The sequence below is a fragment of the Homo sapiens genome, chromosome 6 (genome assembly GCF_000001405.40).
Source record: "Homo sapiens chromosome 6, GRCh38.p14 Primary Assembly".
NCBI lineage: Eukaryota > Metazoa > Chordata > Mammalia > Primates > Hominidae > Homo > Homo sapiens.
In genome coordinates this window covers 105848411-105866625 of record NC_000006.12, presented here as the reverse complement: position 1 = coordinate 105866625, position 18215 = coordinate 105848411, and the positions used below count along the sequence as shown (strand labels likewise).

Here is an 18215-nt window from a genome sequence, read left to right as displayed (position 1 = left end):
ATTGTGGGGAGTTTCTATCTGTAACTGCAAACCAGGAGAAGCCAAGTTTGATTCCATCCTTGCCTAGGAAAAGCAAGGTACTCACCCTACATCCAAATTTGAAAAGATAGCTAAGAATTTTTTTAAAAGCTTCTTTTGGGGGCAAAATTAGCAAAGCAACATGATAATTGCTAATTTTAATTTATAATACCTGAAAGACTACTAAATCCAACCCCTCATATAGACAATGTGTTTCTTCAAGTGCTTAGAGTTCAATGGATCCCAAATGGGGTCTCACAGGGACAGCAACGATTGAATGTTCACTCTTCCATTCAACAGATATTTATTGAGCTCCTTCTCTACATAGGCATTGTGCTAGGTGCTGGGTACAAGATGAGAAGGAGACACATGTTGTCCTGCCCGCACAGAGGTACTTGAGTGTGTGGAGACACTCAACAATGAGCAAGCAAATAAACAACAGCAACATGACAAAACCAGTAGGTAACACAAAAGTAGGGTTTTGTGATAGAGAGGGACCAGGTAGCTCCTTCAGTCTGAATGATCAGGAAAGCCTCTCTAAGAAAGGGACAAAAAGGAGTCAATAACATGGGGGAGAAGCAATGAGTGGGCAGAGGTTCCGAGTTAGGACCAAGCTTTTCATATCCAAGGACAGAAAGAGGGCCAGGGAGGTGAGGGCTGATGGACGAGGTGAGAAGATATAGGGAGATGAGGTAGAGAAATAGGAACCAGATCAAGGAGGGGTTTGAAGAATAGGCTAGATCTTATTCTGAGAACGGTGGAAGCCACTGGAATAGGAAACTGACAAGTTGATTTCCATTTTAAAATGGCCACTTGGCTGTTATGTGGAGAAGGGATTGTAGAGGGGCGAGAGTGGAAGGAAGTGGATGGGGCTGTGTAGGACTCCAGGCCGGTGATGTGGTGGCTTGATTAAAGTGGCTGCGCTGGAAGAGGAGAAGGGGACATGTTAGTAGCATGTTTTGGAAGGAGGGTCCATGGGGTTTGTTCACGGATTAAATGTGGAGAGTGAGGGCAAGAGAATAATTGAGGATAATGCTTCCAACTGAGGACCCTGTCGTTCTACTCTGCATTCCATAAGCGTGTGATAACCCAAGCCTGAGTCTCCAGTGAGGACATGCAGCAGCTTTCACCCACCTCTCATGCTGAGGGGATGCCAGGAGGACCCTGTCTGCCAAGATTGGGGCTTATTCTATGGGAAACTTATTCTGATGGCCCAACATGATTCAGTGCTTTAAAGGAAGCTCTCCTCAGGTGGCCACAAAATTCTCTTAAGGCACAAAGACGGTCAAACCTTTTCTGAGAGTTGTTTCATTCATGAGAGGCATAGAACTTTGTGTATCAAATATCTCCCAGCTTCTTGCTCTTTCTATTGTCTGATATTTATTCTATTTTTCTATATAGTGGGAAAAAATATTTGCAATATGTATAATTAATGAAGAGCTCCTATCTAGAACATATAAAAGCTTCTTTCTACACACACACACACACACACACACACACACACCCCTCATTAATAAAAAGTCAACACAATAAAAATGGGCAAGACAAAAAAATAGCCATTGCATAAGACATCCAGTAAGTATATCTAATATCTAAACATCCAATACATATATAAAATGTGCTTGACCTCATTAGTAATCAGGGAATACAATAAAGCTTCAATCATACAACCACAAAAAAACAAGAACAACTGATTTTACCAAGGATTGAGAAGGGCATAAGATCAACCAGTACTCTCATATGTTGCTAGTGGGTGTGTAAATCGGTACAACCATTTTGGAATACTGTTTGCTATTATCTATTACAGTTGAATTTAGCATACCCTGTGACCTAACAATTCCACTTCTATTTCTATATCCAACAGAAATGTGTCATATGTGAACCAAAACACATGTAAAAATTGTTGACAATAGCACCATTTGTAAAAGACTAAAACTGGAAACCACCAAATGATCAGCAACAGAGAATAAAAAATTATGGCTTATTTCTACAATGGATTGCTATGCTGCAGTAAGAATGAATGAACAGCAGCTACACACAACCGGTATGGATGAATCTCATGAACACAATGTGAAGGGAAAGAAGGCAGAAACATACTTATCACACCCTCCATTTATATAAAACTCAGAGACAAAACAAATTTATGGTGTTAGGAGTCAGGTTCCTTTGGGGAAGAGAGAGGGAGTAGTACCTGAATGGAGGGGGCATGGAGGGGGCTTCGGGCATGCTGGTAAGATTTTTGTTTTGTTTTTAATCTGAGTGATATAGGTGGTAGTTACTTTTTGATGTTACATCGAGCTGTACACTTATGATCTGTTCATGTTTCTGTATGTATTTTATACTTCAATAAAACATTAGTGATTTGTGAATACTCAAGATTCTTTTTAAGTCATCATTGATTGTTTGGATCTTCTGTTTCCCTGAGATCAGTTTTTCAAGAGCTTGTTTTGATCTCTTTATTTTATTTTGCTATTGCATTTCACTTGTCCATCAATTCCATCCATTTCCACTTAAGTTTGAGGGCATGAGGGGCTGTGTAGAAAAGACGTCTGGCAGTTCCATGAATTGAGAGGTTTGTTCACTTTAGATAGAAAGGGTGTGGACCCTGGATGTCCCCCAAATACCAGAAAGAGGGGGACTTCACATTGGCTTCCCTAGTTCTCCTCAGAGAGTTTAATTCCTTTAGTGAAGAACCCTATATTTTGGAGGAGAGGACCTAGAGATAATGTGTGGCTCTCTGTCTGTCTGGGGACAAGGGTAGGGACTGGGATATATGGTGAAGTGGCTAACTCTTCCAGATTAAAACTTTTGAGCTATTTTCCTCATTCCCGCCCTCTGACGTGTTTTCGCACCTGGGACACCCTAACTCCTTTTCCACTACAACTTCCTCCCCATGAATTCTATCTAGTTTGAGGTTCCTCTCACTCTGTTTTAATTATCAGAACTTCTTCCTCCCTATTTCAGAAACTTTTTGAAATCTCTTGTGTTCTGATAGTTCCCCTCCTGTTAGTTCTCTGTGATAGTACGGGTTTATACGTTTTCATTTTGCTTTATGTTTTATTGCATTGGGGAGGAAAGAGAGGCATGTTCTCATTTGGTCTTTTTGATCAAGGAAATTCATTATTTTGTTACTCAATATATTCACACTTAAACATTCTTTCCTGCCTTGTGTGCTAGTGTATGCTACATCCCCCATGAGGAATCAAGAGCATTTTACTACCTCTCACTTCCCTTTCCTGCTTCAACTTCTGATTTCTATCATTTCTGAATTGTTAAGGTTTATGTCATTTACATTTTTTCCTTTAATAAAATTAAGCTCTTTTGTTATTGCTCTAAAGACACTTTTTAAAAATTAAGACCCTCAAAACAGAAAGAACTAAGTCATTTGATTGGGCCCATTTTGAAGGAAAAGCAACCCTGTGTTAAAAATCTTTTTGCAGAGAATAGATAGTTTCAAAGGTCAAGGTCCGGTGGATCCTCATTTAGTTATTTTCAGCTTCTTTTACTTCTTCTGGGTCGTAATCAGACGCCACTGCTTTTTGATTCTCATCACATTCTCTTTAAAACTCTTTTTTGGGATTTCTCTTTTACTTCCATGAATAATATATTCTTATTGAATTCTTGGATGATAATATTTCTGAGTTCTTGCATGTTTAAAAATGCCTTTTGTTGACCCTTGATTGGTAATTTGGCAGAGCAGAGACATTTTGATTCAAATAATTTTCTCTTAAGAAATAGATGGCTTGTTTCTTCTTCTTCTAGCATTTATTGTGGTGATGAGAAGTCTGGTGTCAGTTAGATTCTTATTCTTTGTAGGTAATACGTTTAGTTTCTTTGGAAACCACTAGAATTTTGAAACTTTCCAGTATGTGTCTAGATGTGGATCTTTTTTTTTTTTTTCATTAATTTCTTCCCATACTTGGAGGGCCCTTTCATTCTTAGGACTTGTGATTTTTTTCTTAGCCTGGTGAAAGTATATTTTACTATTTCTTTTGATTATTTATTACTTATAGAATCTCTCTTACACTGGAAAGGAACAATCTGGATCTATCTTCCCATCTTTTTGCTCATATTTACATCTCTGCATTTTTACTCTATATCCTGGGATAGTATCTGAACTTAAATATCTAGATCACCAACTTGGTCTTTTGCTCCATTTAATTTACTATTTAGTCTGTACATATTTTATGTTGTCAATCATGTTTTTTCTTTTGTATGACTTTGTCATGGTCTCTGCTCCTTTTATAGTAGCCTGTTCTTCTTCCTTGCAGTGGAGATGGCATCATTAAATGTCTTCGAGACTATCAAATCACCATTTTGACCTTTCCTTGAGCTGTCTCTGTTTCTTCTAAAGTCAGTTTTTCTGTTTATTTATCCTAGTCCTTCTGTTTCTGTTACTCATTTTTTACAAATATTTGGTAATTTATGTTTGCCAATTCATATTCATGAATGAATTTATCATTGATTTGCATAGCTATGTAGTTGGTTAGGGTTTTTTTCTGTATTTATCATTTATTGCAATTTTGAATGGAAAAAGCTTTCCTGTTACACTTTCTTAATGGTAATTGCTTAAAGTATAGAATCTTGGCAATTTTTTGATAGTTCTCTTATATCCAGATAATTTTCTCAACTATGTTATTACATCTACTACTTTTCCCATTGATTTTCTTAATAAATTATCATTCTTCAATTCATAACTTTTTTCTTTCTGGCTATTTTACCTTTTATTCCTGTTTCACATCTCATTGTTTTGATATTTAAGTGCCTGTGTCCAAGATTCTGCATTATATGTGATAGACTTAAGCAATAATATGGAATAATAAATTATAACAATAATTTTATATATAGGTCACTGTAATGTTAGTCTTGTTATAAAATATCTGACAACAACAAAATGTGTCAATTGTTTTTCAGGCAGAGTAAATATTAAAGATTCAGATTTATTAACTCTCCATTGAATTTTGGTTTTCTGAATAGGGTTGATGTAGAAATGCGGTCACAAAAGTGTTTTGTTTGTTTTTTAAATGGCTACCTCCAGGAAACTTCCTCTTGAAATTTAGGAATATTCCAAGATGGGAATCTGGAAAGAACCCTTTTGTGTGTGTGTGTGTGTGTGTGTGTGTGTGTGTGTGTGTGTGTGTGTGAATTTTTTTTTCTTCTTTTTTTTAAAATTATACTTTAAGTTCTGGGATACATGTGCGGAACGTGCAGGTTTGTTACATAGGTATACACGTGCCATGGTGGTTTGCTGTGCCCATCAACCCATAATCTACATTGGGCATTTCTCCTAATGCTATCCCTCCCCAATCCCCCACCCCCCAACAAGCCACAGTGTGTGATGTTCCCTTCCCTGTGTCCATGTGTTCTCATTGTTGAACTCCCACTTATGAATGAGAATATGCAGTGTTTGATTTTCTGTTCTTGTGTTAGTTTGCTGAGAATGATGGTTTCTAGCTTCATCCATGTCCCTGCAATGGACATAAACTCATCCTTTTTTATGGCTGCATAGTATTCCATGGTATATATGTGCCACATTTTCTTTATCCAGTCTATCATTGATGGGCATCTGGTTTGGTTCCAAGTCTTTGCTATTGTGAATAGTGCTGCACTAAACACATGTGTTCATGTGTCTTTATAGTAGAATGATTTATAATCCTTTGGGTATATACCCAGTAATGGGATTGCTGGATCAAATCATATTTCTGGTTCTAGATCCTGGAAAGGACCTTTTCTACCTTTTGAAGTTAGTCAGTCATTTTCTCTTGTAGCTACTCATCATCTTCTCAAAATGCAGAATAGGTACACGTGCTCCGTAATCACTGTAGAGTAATTTGACTGTATTAAGTCTTCACCAAAGTTTTTGGATGGAGTTGCAATCCTGCTCTACCAAATAATTATAGCAAAACAAAAACAAACAAATAATAAATCCCAGAAACAATCAGACAGGCCCAGATTTTATGAGGCAGAATCTGATATTTTACTTTATGAATAGGTAACCTGTTTAATTATGCATACTTAAGATCTAGGCCATGCTTTTTTTGGTTCCAAACCACTGTGAAAAATATCTACTGCTTTTTTTATAAGATGACTTCTTTGTATAAATTGTCTTACTACTTCTCACTACATATATTACTATGAAATATGGAACAGATATACTTCTTATTTGGCAGATGTAAAACCACAAAAAAATAGTCAGTCACAGTTCAAGGATTAGAATTGGTTTCTCATTTTTCCTAGTCCTGACATGAACAATAAAAAACATATAATTGGATTTTCTTTTTCACTTTGGCTACCAAAGATTTTATGGAGAAATGTGGAGTTCAATTTGCATATTTGTGAGGTCCTTAGCCTGCATATATGCATTCTAACTTTCCCGAGGCCTCAACTTTCTATCGTAATGTACAGCATATTACATGTGCCTCTGAATTTCTAACGTCATTTATATTTTTACATTTTGTTTTTTAATTGCTTTCAAGCCACTTTAAGTCCTTTTGGTGTTACCAAAGGAAAGAGGTAAGAGAAAAGGTAGGAAGGGGAAAAAAAAGAAAGAGAAGGGAAAGGAATGGAAAAGAGTTGGGGAAACAGTTCATATGAAGATTTTACTTTAAAGGAGGCTTTTCCATTTTCTGGAAAAGACTTGGCTGTAGCCTAATGCTGACTTAGAGCAGTCTTTCTTCTTCTCCTCGTTCTCTCTCTTCTCTTCCCTCCTCTTTCTTTTCCTCTTCCAACCATATCCTGATACTTGCCCCCAGAGAGAGGTAGGCAGTCCCAATTAGTTCATAGTAAGTTATTTCAGTAAGTGCCACTGACAGTTATTGCCATTATCTTATCAGCTCCATTTTCTTTGATAGGAGAGGAATCACTCATAGGCCCAAAGGCCAGCATATTGTTCACACAACTGTCTGTACAATTTGAATGATTAAGAGAGCCCTTGGGTGGAGGATAGGAGGAAGGAAACTTGCTGTGTCAGGCATTCTCAGTTCTACTATTGATGGGAAAGTTTCTCTACTTTTCTTTTTTTCTTTTTTTTTTTGGTCTGGGTCTGTAATTTCTCATCTGTCCGCATACCCCAGCTCAGGTCCACACACATCTGTGTCACCTAGTTTAGTCTGCCCTGTGTCTATCCCACAGATACTAGCCTAAGTTAGTGTCCTTGTTACTCCTACATTTGTTACTCTGCAGGCAAACAGGATTTTCAAACTTGCCCATGAAACATATCACTTTCTTGCTTGTGTATTAACCCAGCTCTTTTTTTTTTATTACTAAAAGAATTGCCTACAAAGTGATCCACTTACTCAATAGCTCAGCAAGTGAAAGATAAATGGCTTTAAAATGTGATGTTCACTGGCCATCAGAGAAATGCAAATGAAAACCACAATGAGATACCATCTCATGCCAGTTAGAATGGTGATCATTAAAAAGTCAGGAAACAACAGGTGCTGGAGAGGATGTGGAGAAATAGGAACACTTTTACACTGTTGGTGGGACTGTAAACTAGTTCAACCATTGTGGAAGACAGTGTGGTGATTCCTCAAGGATCTAGAACGAGAAATACCATTTAACCCAGCCATCCCATTACTGGGTATATACCCAAAGGATTATAAATCATGCTGCTATAAAGACACATGCACACATATGTTTATTGCGGCTTTATTCACAATAGCGAAGACTTGGAACCAACCCAAATGTCCATCAATGATAGACTGGATTAAGAAAATGTGGCACATATACACCATGGAATACTATGCAGCCATAAAAAAGGATGAGTTTATGTCCTTTGTAGGGACATGGATGAAGATGGAACCCATCATTCTCAGCAAACTATCACAAGGACAGAAAACCAAACACCGTATGTTCTCACTCATAGGTGGGAATTGAACAATGAGAACACTTGGACACAGGAAGGGGAACATCACACACCAGGGCCTGTCATGGGGTAGGGGGAGTGGGGAGGGATAGCATTAGGAGATATACTAAATGTAAATGACTAGTTAATGGGTGCAGCACACCAGCATGGCACATGTATACATATGTAACGAACCTGCATGTTGTGCACATGTACCCTAGAACTTAAAGTATATGAAAAAAAAGATTTAAAGAAATGTGATGTTAACGAAGGGTCCAGTCATATTATAATTTGCCTGTTATATATATAACCAATTCTTTGTTTTTTTTGGCTGAAGTTTTCAACGACACTAAATTTATCTGTAATAAATCTGTTTCTATAATTGCCTTTGAATATTTTATTCAAAGAGAAAAGTAGCACCTTTTGCCATTGCATTTGTGTGAGCCACAGCTTATTGTTTGCAGGGGAGGCTTAAAGGCAGGGTGGCCCATGAGGAATGGGAGACAACCTTTCCTCTCCAGCCCTTGCCCTGCCTAATTGATCGTAGCTGCAATATTTGATCCAAGGAAACTCCTCCTCCCTGCATAACTATCAGAAGAGATTAACATTGTTATCTTAAGTCCAAGGGCAGATAGGACTGGAGTTGCTGTGAACTCCTGGTCTCTATACTCTTGAATGGGACATCACCCTGCAGATTTTCTACCCTGTCTTGCTGACCTTGGTACATGGACACTAGCAGTGACATCTGGAACACCAAGCCAGGTTTCTGGAAACATCTCAGCTAAAGCCTGCAGATGTGCAGGACTATGTGCTGTGTGCAGTGGCTGGAGTGACTGATGGTGCCAGAACCTGCAAAGAGGTTGGTCCTGTGAGGATGTCACCCAGTGCAGCTGGCCAACCTGGAAAGGAAAACAGATGGAAATAGGCTCTCATACCACTGTCTTTCTTTGATTTTGTGCTTGTTGTTGTTGAGAGGGGCAGACCTCCTGCCAGTCAAGTCACAGAGGTCCGAGGGTGTTTCTGAGGGAGTGCCCAGTGTGCCTCTGGTACCTTGATTCAGCACAATGGCTGTTTCTGATTTCTGGATGCGGCTCTTCACCGTCTGTTTCAGGCTGCAGCTGTGGCTGGTTTATTTTGTGATAGGAGTTATTACTATTGTTGGTTTTTCATTACATAATCCTTTACTTATATTCACAAAAACTTAATACCACGATGTTGTGCTTTTGAATAGGATGCAGATTTTGGGTTGAGGGTGTTCAAGAGATGCATGGAAACCTCTGGGTTCCCTGGAGAGGGAAGTTCAGAGTTGGGAGAAGAGACCAGCAATAATTCTGTTTTACCTTCAAGGAGGGGCATATCCGTGTGCATGGATGGAGTCAAGCTTCACCATAATCCTCTTTAAAGATAAGTGATGTTGAGAACTTGAAGAAATCTGGAAAATATAAGCTAGTGAAATTCAGAATGTATTTGATAGTACTCATACACACAGAGGGAGCTGTACTGTATGAAGAATAATCTGCAATCTGCTTTTATACTTTCTTTTTTTTTTTCTTGAGATGGAATCTCACTCTGTTGCCCAGGCTGGAGTGCAGTGGCATGATCTCGGCTTACTGCAACCTCCGCCTCCCGTGTTCAAGTGATTCCCTTGCCTCAGCCTTCCAAGTAGCTGGGATTACAGGCACCTGCCACCACACTCAGCTAATTTTTGTATTTTAAGTAGATATGGGATTTCACTGTGTTGGCTAGGCTGGTCTCAAACTCTTGACCTCGTGATCTGCCCGCCTCAGCCTCTCAAAGTGCTGGGATTACAAGCATGAGCCACCATGCCCGGCCTTACACTTTCTTTGCCTCTGCCTTTCCTTGGGCCTGCGAGCACTCTGGAAATGATTGTTCAGCAAACTTTCTAGTAGTAAACTAATGTTTCTTTAGGAAATGCTGCTAACATGGTATAACATATTTCATCAGTATATCATTGATTTGGAGGAGGCTCAAAGAGCTTTTCTTGCATCCCTGGGACAATGTAAGAAAGTCAAGCTTCCTGCTTCCACTTTGCTCTCACTTTTGTCAAATGTCTTGCTATACTCTGTGATTATTGAAGGCCCTGGAAGGCAGTTGGGTCCTGCTTCTAATTGCTAACTCTCTAAGACACGTGTGGAAGTCTGACAGGATAAGGGCATTACACCCACATGAGAGAAGACAGTCAAATATTTACATCATTTGCAGTGAGTTTCTGTTAGGAGCAGGGAGCAAGAGTCAATACAAAATTTGAGCTCTCTATTGGGAAGCCTCATTTTAGGATTTCTTTTTCTGGGTGAGATGATATTTGTATGCTGCACCTGTAGTCAGGTATGCTCTAGGCACAGAGTGTATAAGGACGAGGTCAAATTTGGGGTCAAGTTTGGAAGGTCTTGCCAACCTGGTTGATTGTTTAAATGGTAAGCAGACGTAGGTTGCGGGTGAGGTTGCAGGTGAGGTCTGGTGGACGGTCCTAATGCATAAAAAACTTGAAGGTGGTCGGAGGGACTATGGGAGCTTTCCTTCCCCAGGGCCGCTGTGTGTGAGCCGACCCTGGTCACCAGCCACTTTGCATCTACTGCTAGTTTGCTTTTTAACTGAATCATCCATTCTTTTCCACATCATCTCCTTATAGACAAAATGTCCACATGTTGGGAAGAAACTGGCTCACATTTCAACTAAATAAAAAGACCTTTTGACATTGGCCAGGCATGGTGGCTCACGCCTGTAATCCCAGCACTTTGGGAGGCCGAGGCGGGTGGATCATGAGGTCAAGAGATGGAGACCATCCTGGTTAACATGGTGAAACCCTGTCTCTACTAAAAATACAAAAAATTAGCCAGGCATGGTGGCCAGCACCTGTAGTCCCAGATACTCGGGAGGCTGAGGCAGGAGAATGGCGTGAACCTGGGAGGCGGAGGTTGCAGTGAGCCAAGATCGCGCCATTGCACTCCAACCTGGTGACAGAGAGAGACTCCGTTTCAAAAAAAAAAAGAAAAAACAAACAAATGAAAAAAAACAACTTTTGACATCTAATAATAGTTCCCATAGTACCAACTGCATCCAAGGCACTGGGCTAGGAACTTTGCATATATTATCTCTGCAATGCCAGAACATGTTTCACGAATGATAAGGCAAAGGCTCAGATATGTCATAAAATGTGGCCACTGTCACAAGCTAAGGAATCCAAGTGACAGACTCGCAATCCAGGTCTGAATGCAAAGCCTGCCACCCTCCAGCTCCTACACCATTCTGTGCCCCCTGCAGCCTCATGCCATGGGTATACCAGCTGAACTAGTGAGCTCACGCTTCTTTTCCAATATTTTGTATGAAAACGAGAAGACTCAGTAATATCCTAATGTGGGCTAAAAGAAAAAAAGGAGTGGCTGGGCACGGTGGCTCACGCCTGTAATTCCAGCACTTTGGGAGGCCAAGGCTGGTGGATCACGAGCTCAGGAGATCGAGACCATCCATCCCGGCTAACACGGTGAAACCCTGTCTCTACTAAAAATACAAAAAGTTAGCCGGGTGTGGCAGTGTGCGCCTGTAGTCCCAGCTGCTGGGGAGGCTGAGGCAGAAGAATGGTGTGAACCTGGGAGGCGGAGCTTGCAGTGAGCTGAGATCGTGCCACTGCACTCCAGCCTGGGTGACAGAGCGAGACTCCGTTTCAAAAAAAAAAAAAAAAAAAAAAAAGGAAAAGAAACAAAGGAGCAAATAAAAAACCTTGCTAAGTCAGCCAACTGTTTGGATTTTAGGCTAAAGATAATAGGTTTGCTTCCCTCAAGAAATAGGGTTTGGCTCTCCCTCTCCCTCTCCCCCTCCCCCTCCCCCTCTCCCCACGGCCCACGGTCTCCCTCTCCCTCTCTTTCCATGGTCTCCCTCTGATGCCGAGCCGAAGCTGGACTGTACTGCTGCCATCTCGGCTCACTGCAACCTCCCTGCCTGATTCTCCTGCCTCAGCCTGCCGAGTGCCTGTAGCGCGCCACCACGCCTGACTGGTTTTCTTACTTTTTTGGTGGAGACGGGGTTTCGCTGTGTTGGCCGGGCTGGTCTCCAGCTCCTAACCGCGAGTGATCCGCCAGCCTCGGCCTCCCGAGGTGCCGGGATTGCAGACGGAGTCTGGTTCACTCAGTGCTCAATGGTGCCCAGGCTGGAGTGCAGTGGCGTGATCTCGGCTCGCTACAACCTCCACCTCCCAGCCGCCTGCCTTGGCCTCCCAAAGTGCCGAGATTGCAGCCTCTGCCCGGCCGCCACCCCGTCTGGGAAGTGAGGAGCGTCTCTGCCTGGCCGCCCATCGTCTGGGACGTGAGGAGCCCCTCTGCCTGGCTGCCCAGTCTGGAAAGTGAGGAGCGCCTCTTCCCGGCCGCCATCCCGTCTAGGAAGTGAGGAGCGCCTCTTCCCGGCCGCCATCCCATCTAGGAAGTGAGGAGCGCCTCTTCCCGGCCACCTTCCCATCTAGGAAGTGAGGAGCGTCTCTGCCCCGCCGCCCATCGCCTGAGATGTGGGGAGCGCCTCTGCCCCGCCGCCCCGTCTGGGATGTGAGAGCGCCCGGCCGGGACCCCGTCTGGGAGGTGAGGAGCATCTCTGCCCGGCCGCCCCATCTGAGAAGTGAGGAGCCTCTACGCCCTGCAGCCACCCCGTCTGGGAAGTGAGGAGCATCTCCGCCCGGCAGCCACCCCGTCTGGGAGGGAGGTGGGGGGGTCAGCCCCCCGCCCGGCCAGCCGCCCCGTCCGGGAGGTGAGGGGCGCCTCTGCCCGGCCGCCCCTACTGGGAAGTGAGGAGCCCCTCTGCCCAGCCAGCCGCCCCGTCGGGGAGGGAGGTGGGGGTGTCAGCCCCCCGCCCGGCCAGCCGCCCCGTCCGGGAGGGAGGTGGGGGGGGGTCAGCCCCCCGCCCGGCCAGCCGCCCCATCCGGGAGGTGAGGGGCGCCTCTGCCCGGCCGTCCCTACTGGGAAGTGAGGAGCCCCTCTGCCCGGCCAGCCGCCCCGTCGGGGAGGGAGATGGGGGGGGGGTTAGCCCCCCGCCCGGCCAGCCGCCCCGTCCGGGAGGTGAGGGGCGCCTCTGCCCAGCCGCCCCTACTGGGAAGTGAGGAGCCCCTCTGCCCGGCCACCACCCCGTCTGGGAGGTGTACCCAACAGCTCATTGAGAACGGGCAGGGATGACAATGGCGGTTTTGTGGAATAGAAAGGGGGGAAAGGTGGGGAAAAGATTGGGAAATCGGATGGTTGCCGCGTCTGTGTAGAAAGAAGTAGACATGGGAGACTTTTCATTCTGTTCTGTACCAAGAAAAATTCTTCTGCCTTGGGATCCTGTTGATCGGTGACCTTACCCCCAACCCTGTGCTCTCTGAAACATGTGCTGTGTCCACTCAGGGTAAATGGATTAAGGGCGGTGCAAGATGTGCTTTGTTAAACAGATGCTTGAAGGCAGCATGCTCGTTAAGAATCATCACCACTCCCTAATCTCAAGTACCCAGGGACACAAACCCTGCGGAAGGCCGCAGGGTCCTCTGCCTAGGAAAACCAGAGACCTTTGTTCACTTGTTTATCTGCTGACCTTCCCTCCACTATTGTCCTATGACCCTGCCAACTCCCCCTCTGCGAGAAACACCCAAGAATGATCAATTAAAAATAAATAAATAAATAAAATAAAATAAAATAAAATAAAAAATAAATAAATATTTAAAAGGTCAAAAAAAAAAAAAAAAAAAACCTCAATCCATGCCCAGACTTCCTGCCTGGGCCTAACAAAGAAGCCTTCTCCTGCAGACCCCAGGACAGCTAAGCCACTGAGCTGGTTCTTAGCACCAATCTTCTAGATCAGTTCAACTCAAATTCCTTGCCAGGCTTGTAAGATAAATAAGGAAGCAACTGAGTGGGGACCATGGGGACCTGTCTTAAGGGGCAGCAGCTACTGCTACTGAACCCCAACCACCACGACTATGTGGGAATATGACCCAGTGTGGCCAAATTTTCCAGTTTTTGTAAGGGAATCCCAAAATCCAGACTTTTATTTTCTAAATATTGACTCAAATTTGTAAAAAGCTCTATGTAGCCCCAACTAAACATGTCTGTGGGCTAGATTAGCCCTTTGGCCAGCTGGCCACCAGTTGACCATTTCTGTAGACAAGAGTCTCAGAAAGGCAACCACAGCCTCAACTGTTACAGGATTATTTTCTACCTAAAGAGGCATGTGCATAAATGGCAGGATGCCCAGCACACCTCATTTTACTGTGTTTCACTTTATTGTACTTCGCAAATATTGCATTTTTTAACAAATGGAAGGTTTCTGGCAACCCTGTGTCAAGCAAATCTATCAGTGCCATTTGTCCAACAGCATGCGCTCACTTCCTGTCTCTGGGTCACATTTTGGTAATTTTTGCGACATTTCAGTTTCTCATTATTATTATATCTGTTATGGTGATCTGTGATCAGTGATCTTTGATATTACTATTCTAATTGTTTTGGGGAGCCACAAACTGTGCCCATATAAGATGGAAAACTTCCAATAAATGCTGTGTGTGTTCTGACTGCTCATCAAAAAAAAAAAAAAAAAAAAAAAAAAAAAGAAATAGGGTTTGGGGAAGAAGGGGTACAGAGCATAGAGAGGGTACTTAGATTACTATTGATGATGTGGATTTATCTATTAGACTGTAGTGCACCCTATGGGGTGATAGTAACAAGGTGCACTTTTTAATGTCTGAATTGAATGGACATCCGGGCAGGCAGGGATATTCAGACCCACTGGCTGACATAGCTAGACACTCGTAGGACACACAGAAAACAAAGGGGAAGCATTAAATTAATACAGGATGCAGACGTGACCCACTTGTATCTGGTACAGATCAAAAGTCAGTATGTCTGCTGGGTGATGGGCTGGAATAAAGGGGGCAGCTGGGGAAGGCCGTGGAGAAAGTGGACACATGTTGCTGGAACACAGTGGGAATTCTTATGGCCACCACCCCATTCCGGGCTGCTGCCCAGTAAATATGTAGACTAGTCAATAGGGAAAGTGACCTGCCAAGTATCATGGCCAGACTCCTGGATTCTTAGTGGATTTGCCTTGGTTAGTGGCATTTCCCATCATCAGGTTTATTTCCTTGATATGAAATATGACATTCACATTTTTTCCTGAAGTTTATTGTGGAGAATTAATTTCTAATCAAGTTCCTGGTGCACAGTCCCACGACTCGGGACCCCATCTGCGTTGCTTTGGGGGCAGCCTCCAAAGCATCTCTTGGATGCCTCTTTTGTCAGCATCTCCTCTTCCCCTCTCAGAGTTGCAGGCAGATGTGGCCGGCAGAGAGAGGTTAAGGAGCCAGCAACGAAAGACAGCTGGGGATCGTTAGCAACAATCAAGGCGCGGCATTAAGAGGCAGCAGGGGTGAGTGTCTGGGTTCTTACATTGGCCTGCCTGAGGAAGCCATCTGGACGGAGGAGATTCGCCTTAAACCTTGGCAAGAGAACTTTGTTCTGTTTGAACTTTCTTTAAAGCCCCAGAGTGGGTGAGCATTTTGTTTAAACTTTCTTTAAAACAAAGAATAGGAGATCCCCTGCAATTAACAACAGGAACCTTCTTCCCCTTTTAACAGATTTGATAGGAAAAACCACAAGGACTGTTCTGATATCCATTAGCACGGTTCAGTTAGCAGGCTGAAAAGAAAGATACAAAGGAGTGGAAGTTTGCAGTCTTGGGAGCACCTAGGTCATATAAGAAAGGTCTCATCGCAGTGCGCTCCATCCTTAGTCGGACCTTCTCTCGTGTGGGGCCTATCCCCATTGATTGCTGAGGGCGATTAATTTTCAGCACAATTTCCTGTGTTCACTATTCGTCTTGGCATATGTATTCACACAGCACTCACAGATAATGGGATTTGCAACTCTGTCTTAAAGTGATTCAGTAGGGAAGTGCATCCTCTCAGCTGTGAATGCTCAGTGTTATGAATGCAGTGTTATGAATGTCTCAGTGTTATGAATGCAGCTACTTCTTCTAGCCCTATTTAATGCAGTTCTTCAAATATCAGACTTCAACTTAGTTCATAAAGGGATTTTATGAAGTCCAGCATTTTCTCTTTGAACCCAAAGGCTACCATTACTATTATCCAGAACACACATATTTATACACAGGAATGCGTCCACATGGAGTCCCCATAGGAAAGTTACCGGAGAAAAACCCCAATATCTGGCTGATGTGCCTGTGGCAGAAGCCTGTGCATCCATCTTGCACAAAATCAACTTCCTTTGGCACTTGGGCAAGCTCTTTCACATTATGGGCCCTACTTTCTGTCCTTGTCAGATGTCCAAGTTGGCAGCTTCCTGCTCTAATGCACTGTTGTTTTCCAGTTGTGAGTAGGATCTGATGCTAACCCTTGGGCCGTCATCCTGCAAGCAGTGCCCATTGCTACTCTCCCAGCTCATGCCCCCTCCCTGCCTAGAGCATTTTCTCCTTGCCTCTCCGGCCCCCTGCGGCCCTGCCCTTCCTCCTGGGCCACTTCTGCTCTGGGACAGCCATCAGGCCTCTGCCTAGCATCCCTCTGCCACAGTCCTGCATTTCCTCTGTGTTGCCATTGCTTGTTTCATTCCTTGCCTCTTTTATTAGCCACAAGTCTTACGGGGGCAGCGCCTTTGTCATGTCTCCTGTTGAGTCCTCCGTTGCCTAGTACAGGAGCTGCTGCACAGTGGTAGATAAGATTCAGTGACTCTTTTTTGAATGAAAGGACAAACTGAGAAATGAATGGATGAATAAAAAGAGTGAATGAATGTTCCCTCACTCATACACATTCCTAAGAGGCGAGTGCAGGGAATCCCAGAGGAGGGGATTACTGCCTCGCTGCAGGCCTGATGTATCTGCTAACCTTACACAGAACTTGAACGAACATTGAAAAATAGCCACCTGATCACTTCCTCACATGTTGAATGCAAAAGGGTGGGGGCTGTGTGGACAGAGGTGGAAGCTCTTTGGGTGTTCCTCAGCCAGTGTTGTGGGGATTGTAAACCAGAAGTGCCTTCTCTCCTCTAGCAGAAGAGGAGCTGTGAATGGGAGGGGTTTTCTGGAGGCCATGGAGGCCCACAGGTCGAAGACCCATATATTCCTGGCTGTGCTTTCCGGCCTAATGCACCTTCTCTATCTGTAGAGAAGAAGTTTGCGTTTTCCCTCGTGCCCTGTAAACACCTCCTACACATCAGGAGCTAGGTGAGTGCATACTGTTTCACCCGGTGGCACAGATGCCAAAATGTTTCATAAGGCTACATAGAGTTTGGGGCTCCTTGTTGCTTTTTCACTGGTCCCTAGTCCTGTCGCTAAACCTGATCTGCTTGATCCTTTAATCCCACCTCGATGCCCAGATTTATGATTAAGTAGACCCTAGTTATAAATCAAATCAGTTAAATATATAATTAGTCTCATCAGTCACTGAAGAAATATCTAAAACATGCATTGATCATTTCGTTTCATATGGGACTAAAACTTAATTTCAAATGTATGATTTTTTTAGTTAAGAACAACCAACCATAATTTGTCAACTAAAAAATAAGACAAGTATGAGCCTGTGTGTATGCTACATATTATAAACAAACATTTGTGAAAGATTCATATGCTCTGCTCAATAATTGGCATCAAGAAGTCTGTCCTAAGGAAATAGTCGAAAACACCAACAGAAACGTATGCATAAAGATGTCCAATACAGCATTGCTTATAAGAGCAGAAAACCTGAATACAGCCTAAACGTCCTACTTTAAAAGAATGGATAAGTAAATGATAGCACAACCGTCTGAAAAGGAATAAAGTTATTAAAAAGATCTTTAATGTTTTTAGCGATCATTAGTGCTGATAGTAGAAAATTAAGTGTAAAGAGCAGTATACAAAGGTATGTACATAGGAAGGTTTTAACCATTCCAGTCACATGCCTCAGTGAAGGAAAACATACCAAAATGTTAACAGTGATTGTCTGGGTGGTGGGATTATGGATGCGTAGTCGCCTTGTCACATTCTCCGAAATTTCTGCAATGGACCAGCATTATCTTAAAGCGACCACATTTATCATAGGGAAAAAATGATTATAAAACATCCTAAAAGATGTTGTGCCATCGAGCCAAATACAAGATCATCTCATTACTCTTTGTTAAGAGGAACAAATCATGACTCTTTTTCAAAGCTGCCAAAACCTTATTTGCCAAAAATTACAAATAAGGCTTTGTAAACATATAAAATAAAAAATCTGCTTTCCGAAGTAAAGGCAGTATTATCATACAGTTCTTGCAGGCAATTTCTGAGTGAACTGTGTTCTCTAAGCAAGCTTTTCTTTGGGATCAATAGTCAATACATTTCATCAGAGTGGAAG

At 43.1% G+C, this 18215-nt stretch overlaps 1 long non-coding RNA gene across 2 annotated transcripts in view, besides 2 other annotated features; it reads left to right on the top strand.

Moving 5' to 3' along the window:
• Positions 1 to 18215, top strand: part of LOC105377923 (uncharacterized) — a 63333-nt gene that overhangs the window by 26472 nt on the left and 18646 nt on the right. The gene's annotated exons all lie outside the window — the stretch shown is intronic.
• Positions 13095 to 13596: an enhancer, noted in NCBI's record as "NANOG hESC enhancer chr6:106300905-106301406 (GRCh37/hg19 assembly coordinates)". NCBI's record gives its function as "activates a minimal SCP1, AML or CMV promoter by ChIP-STARR-seq in naive H9 embryonic stem cells {active_cell/tissue: H9 hESC(naive)}" and the evidence as "EXISTENCE:reporter gene assay evidence [ECO:0000049][PMID:30033119]".
• Positions 15425 to 15625: a silencer, noted in NCBI's record as "peak5998 fragment used in MPRA reporter construct". NCBI's record gives its function as "represses an SCP1 promoter by STARR-seq MPRAs in K562 erythroleukemia cells {active_cell/tissue: K562}" and the evidence as "EXISTENCE:reporter gene assay evidence [ECO:0000049][PMID:32103011]".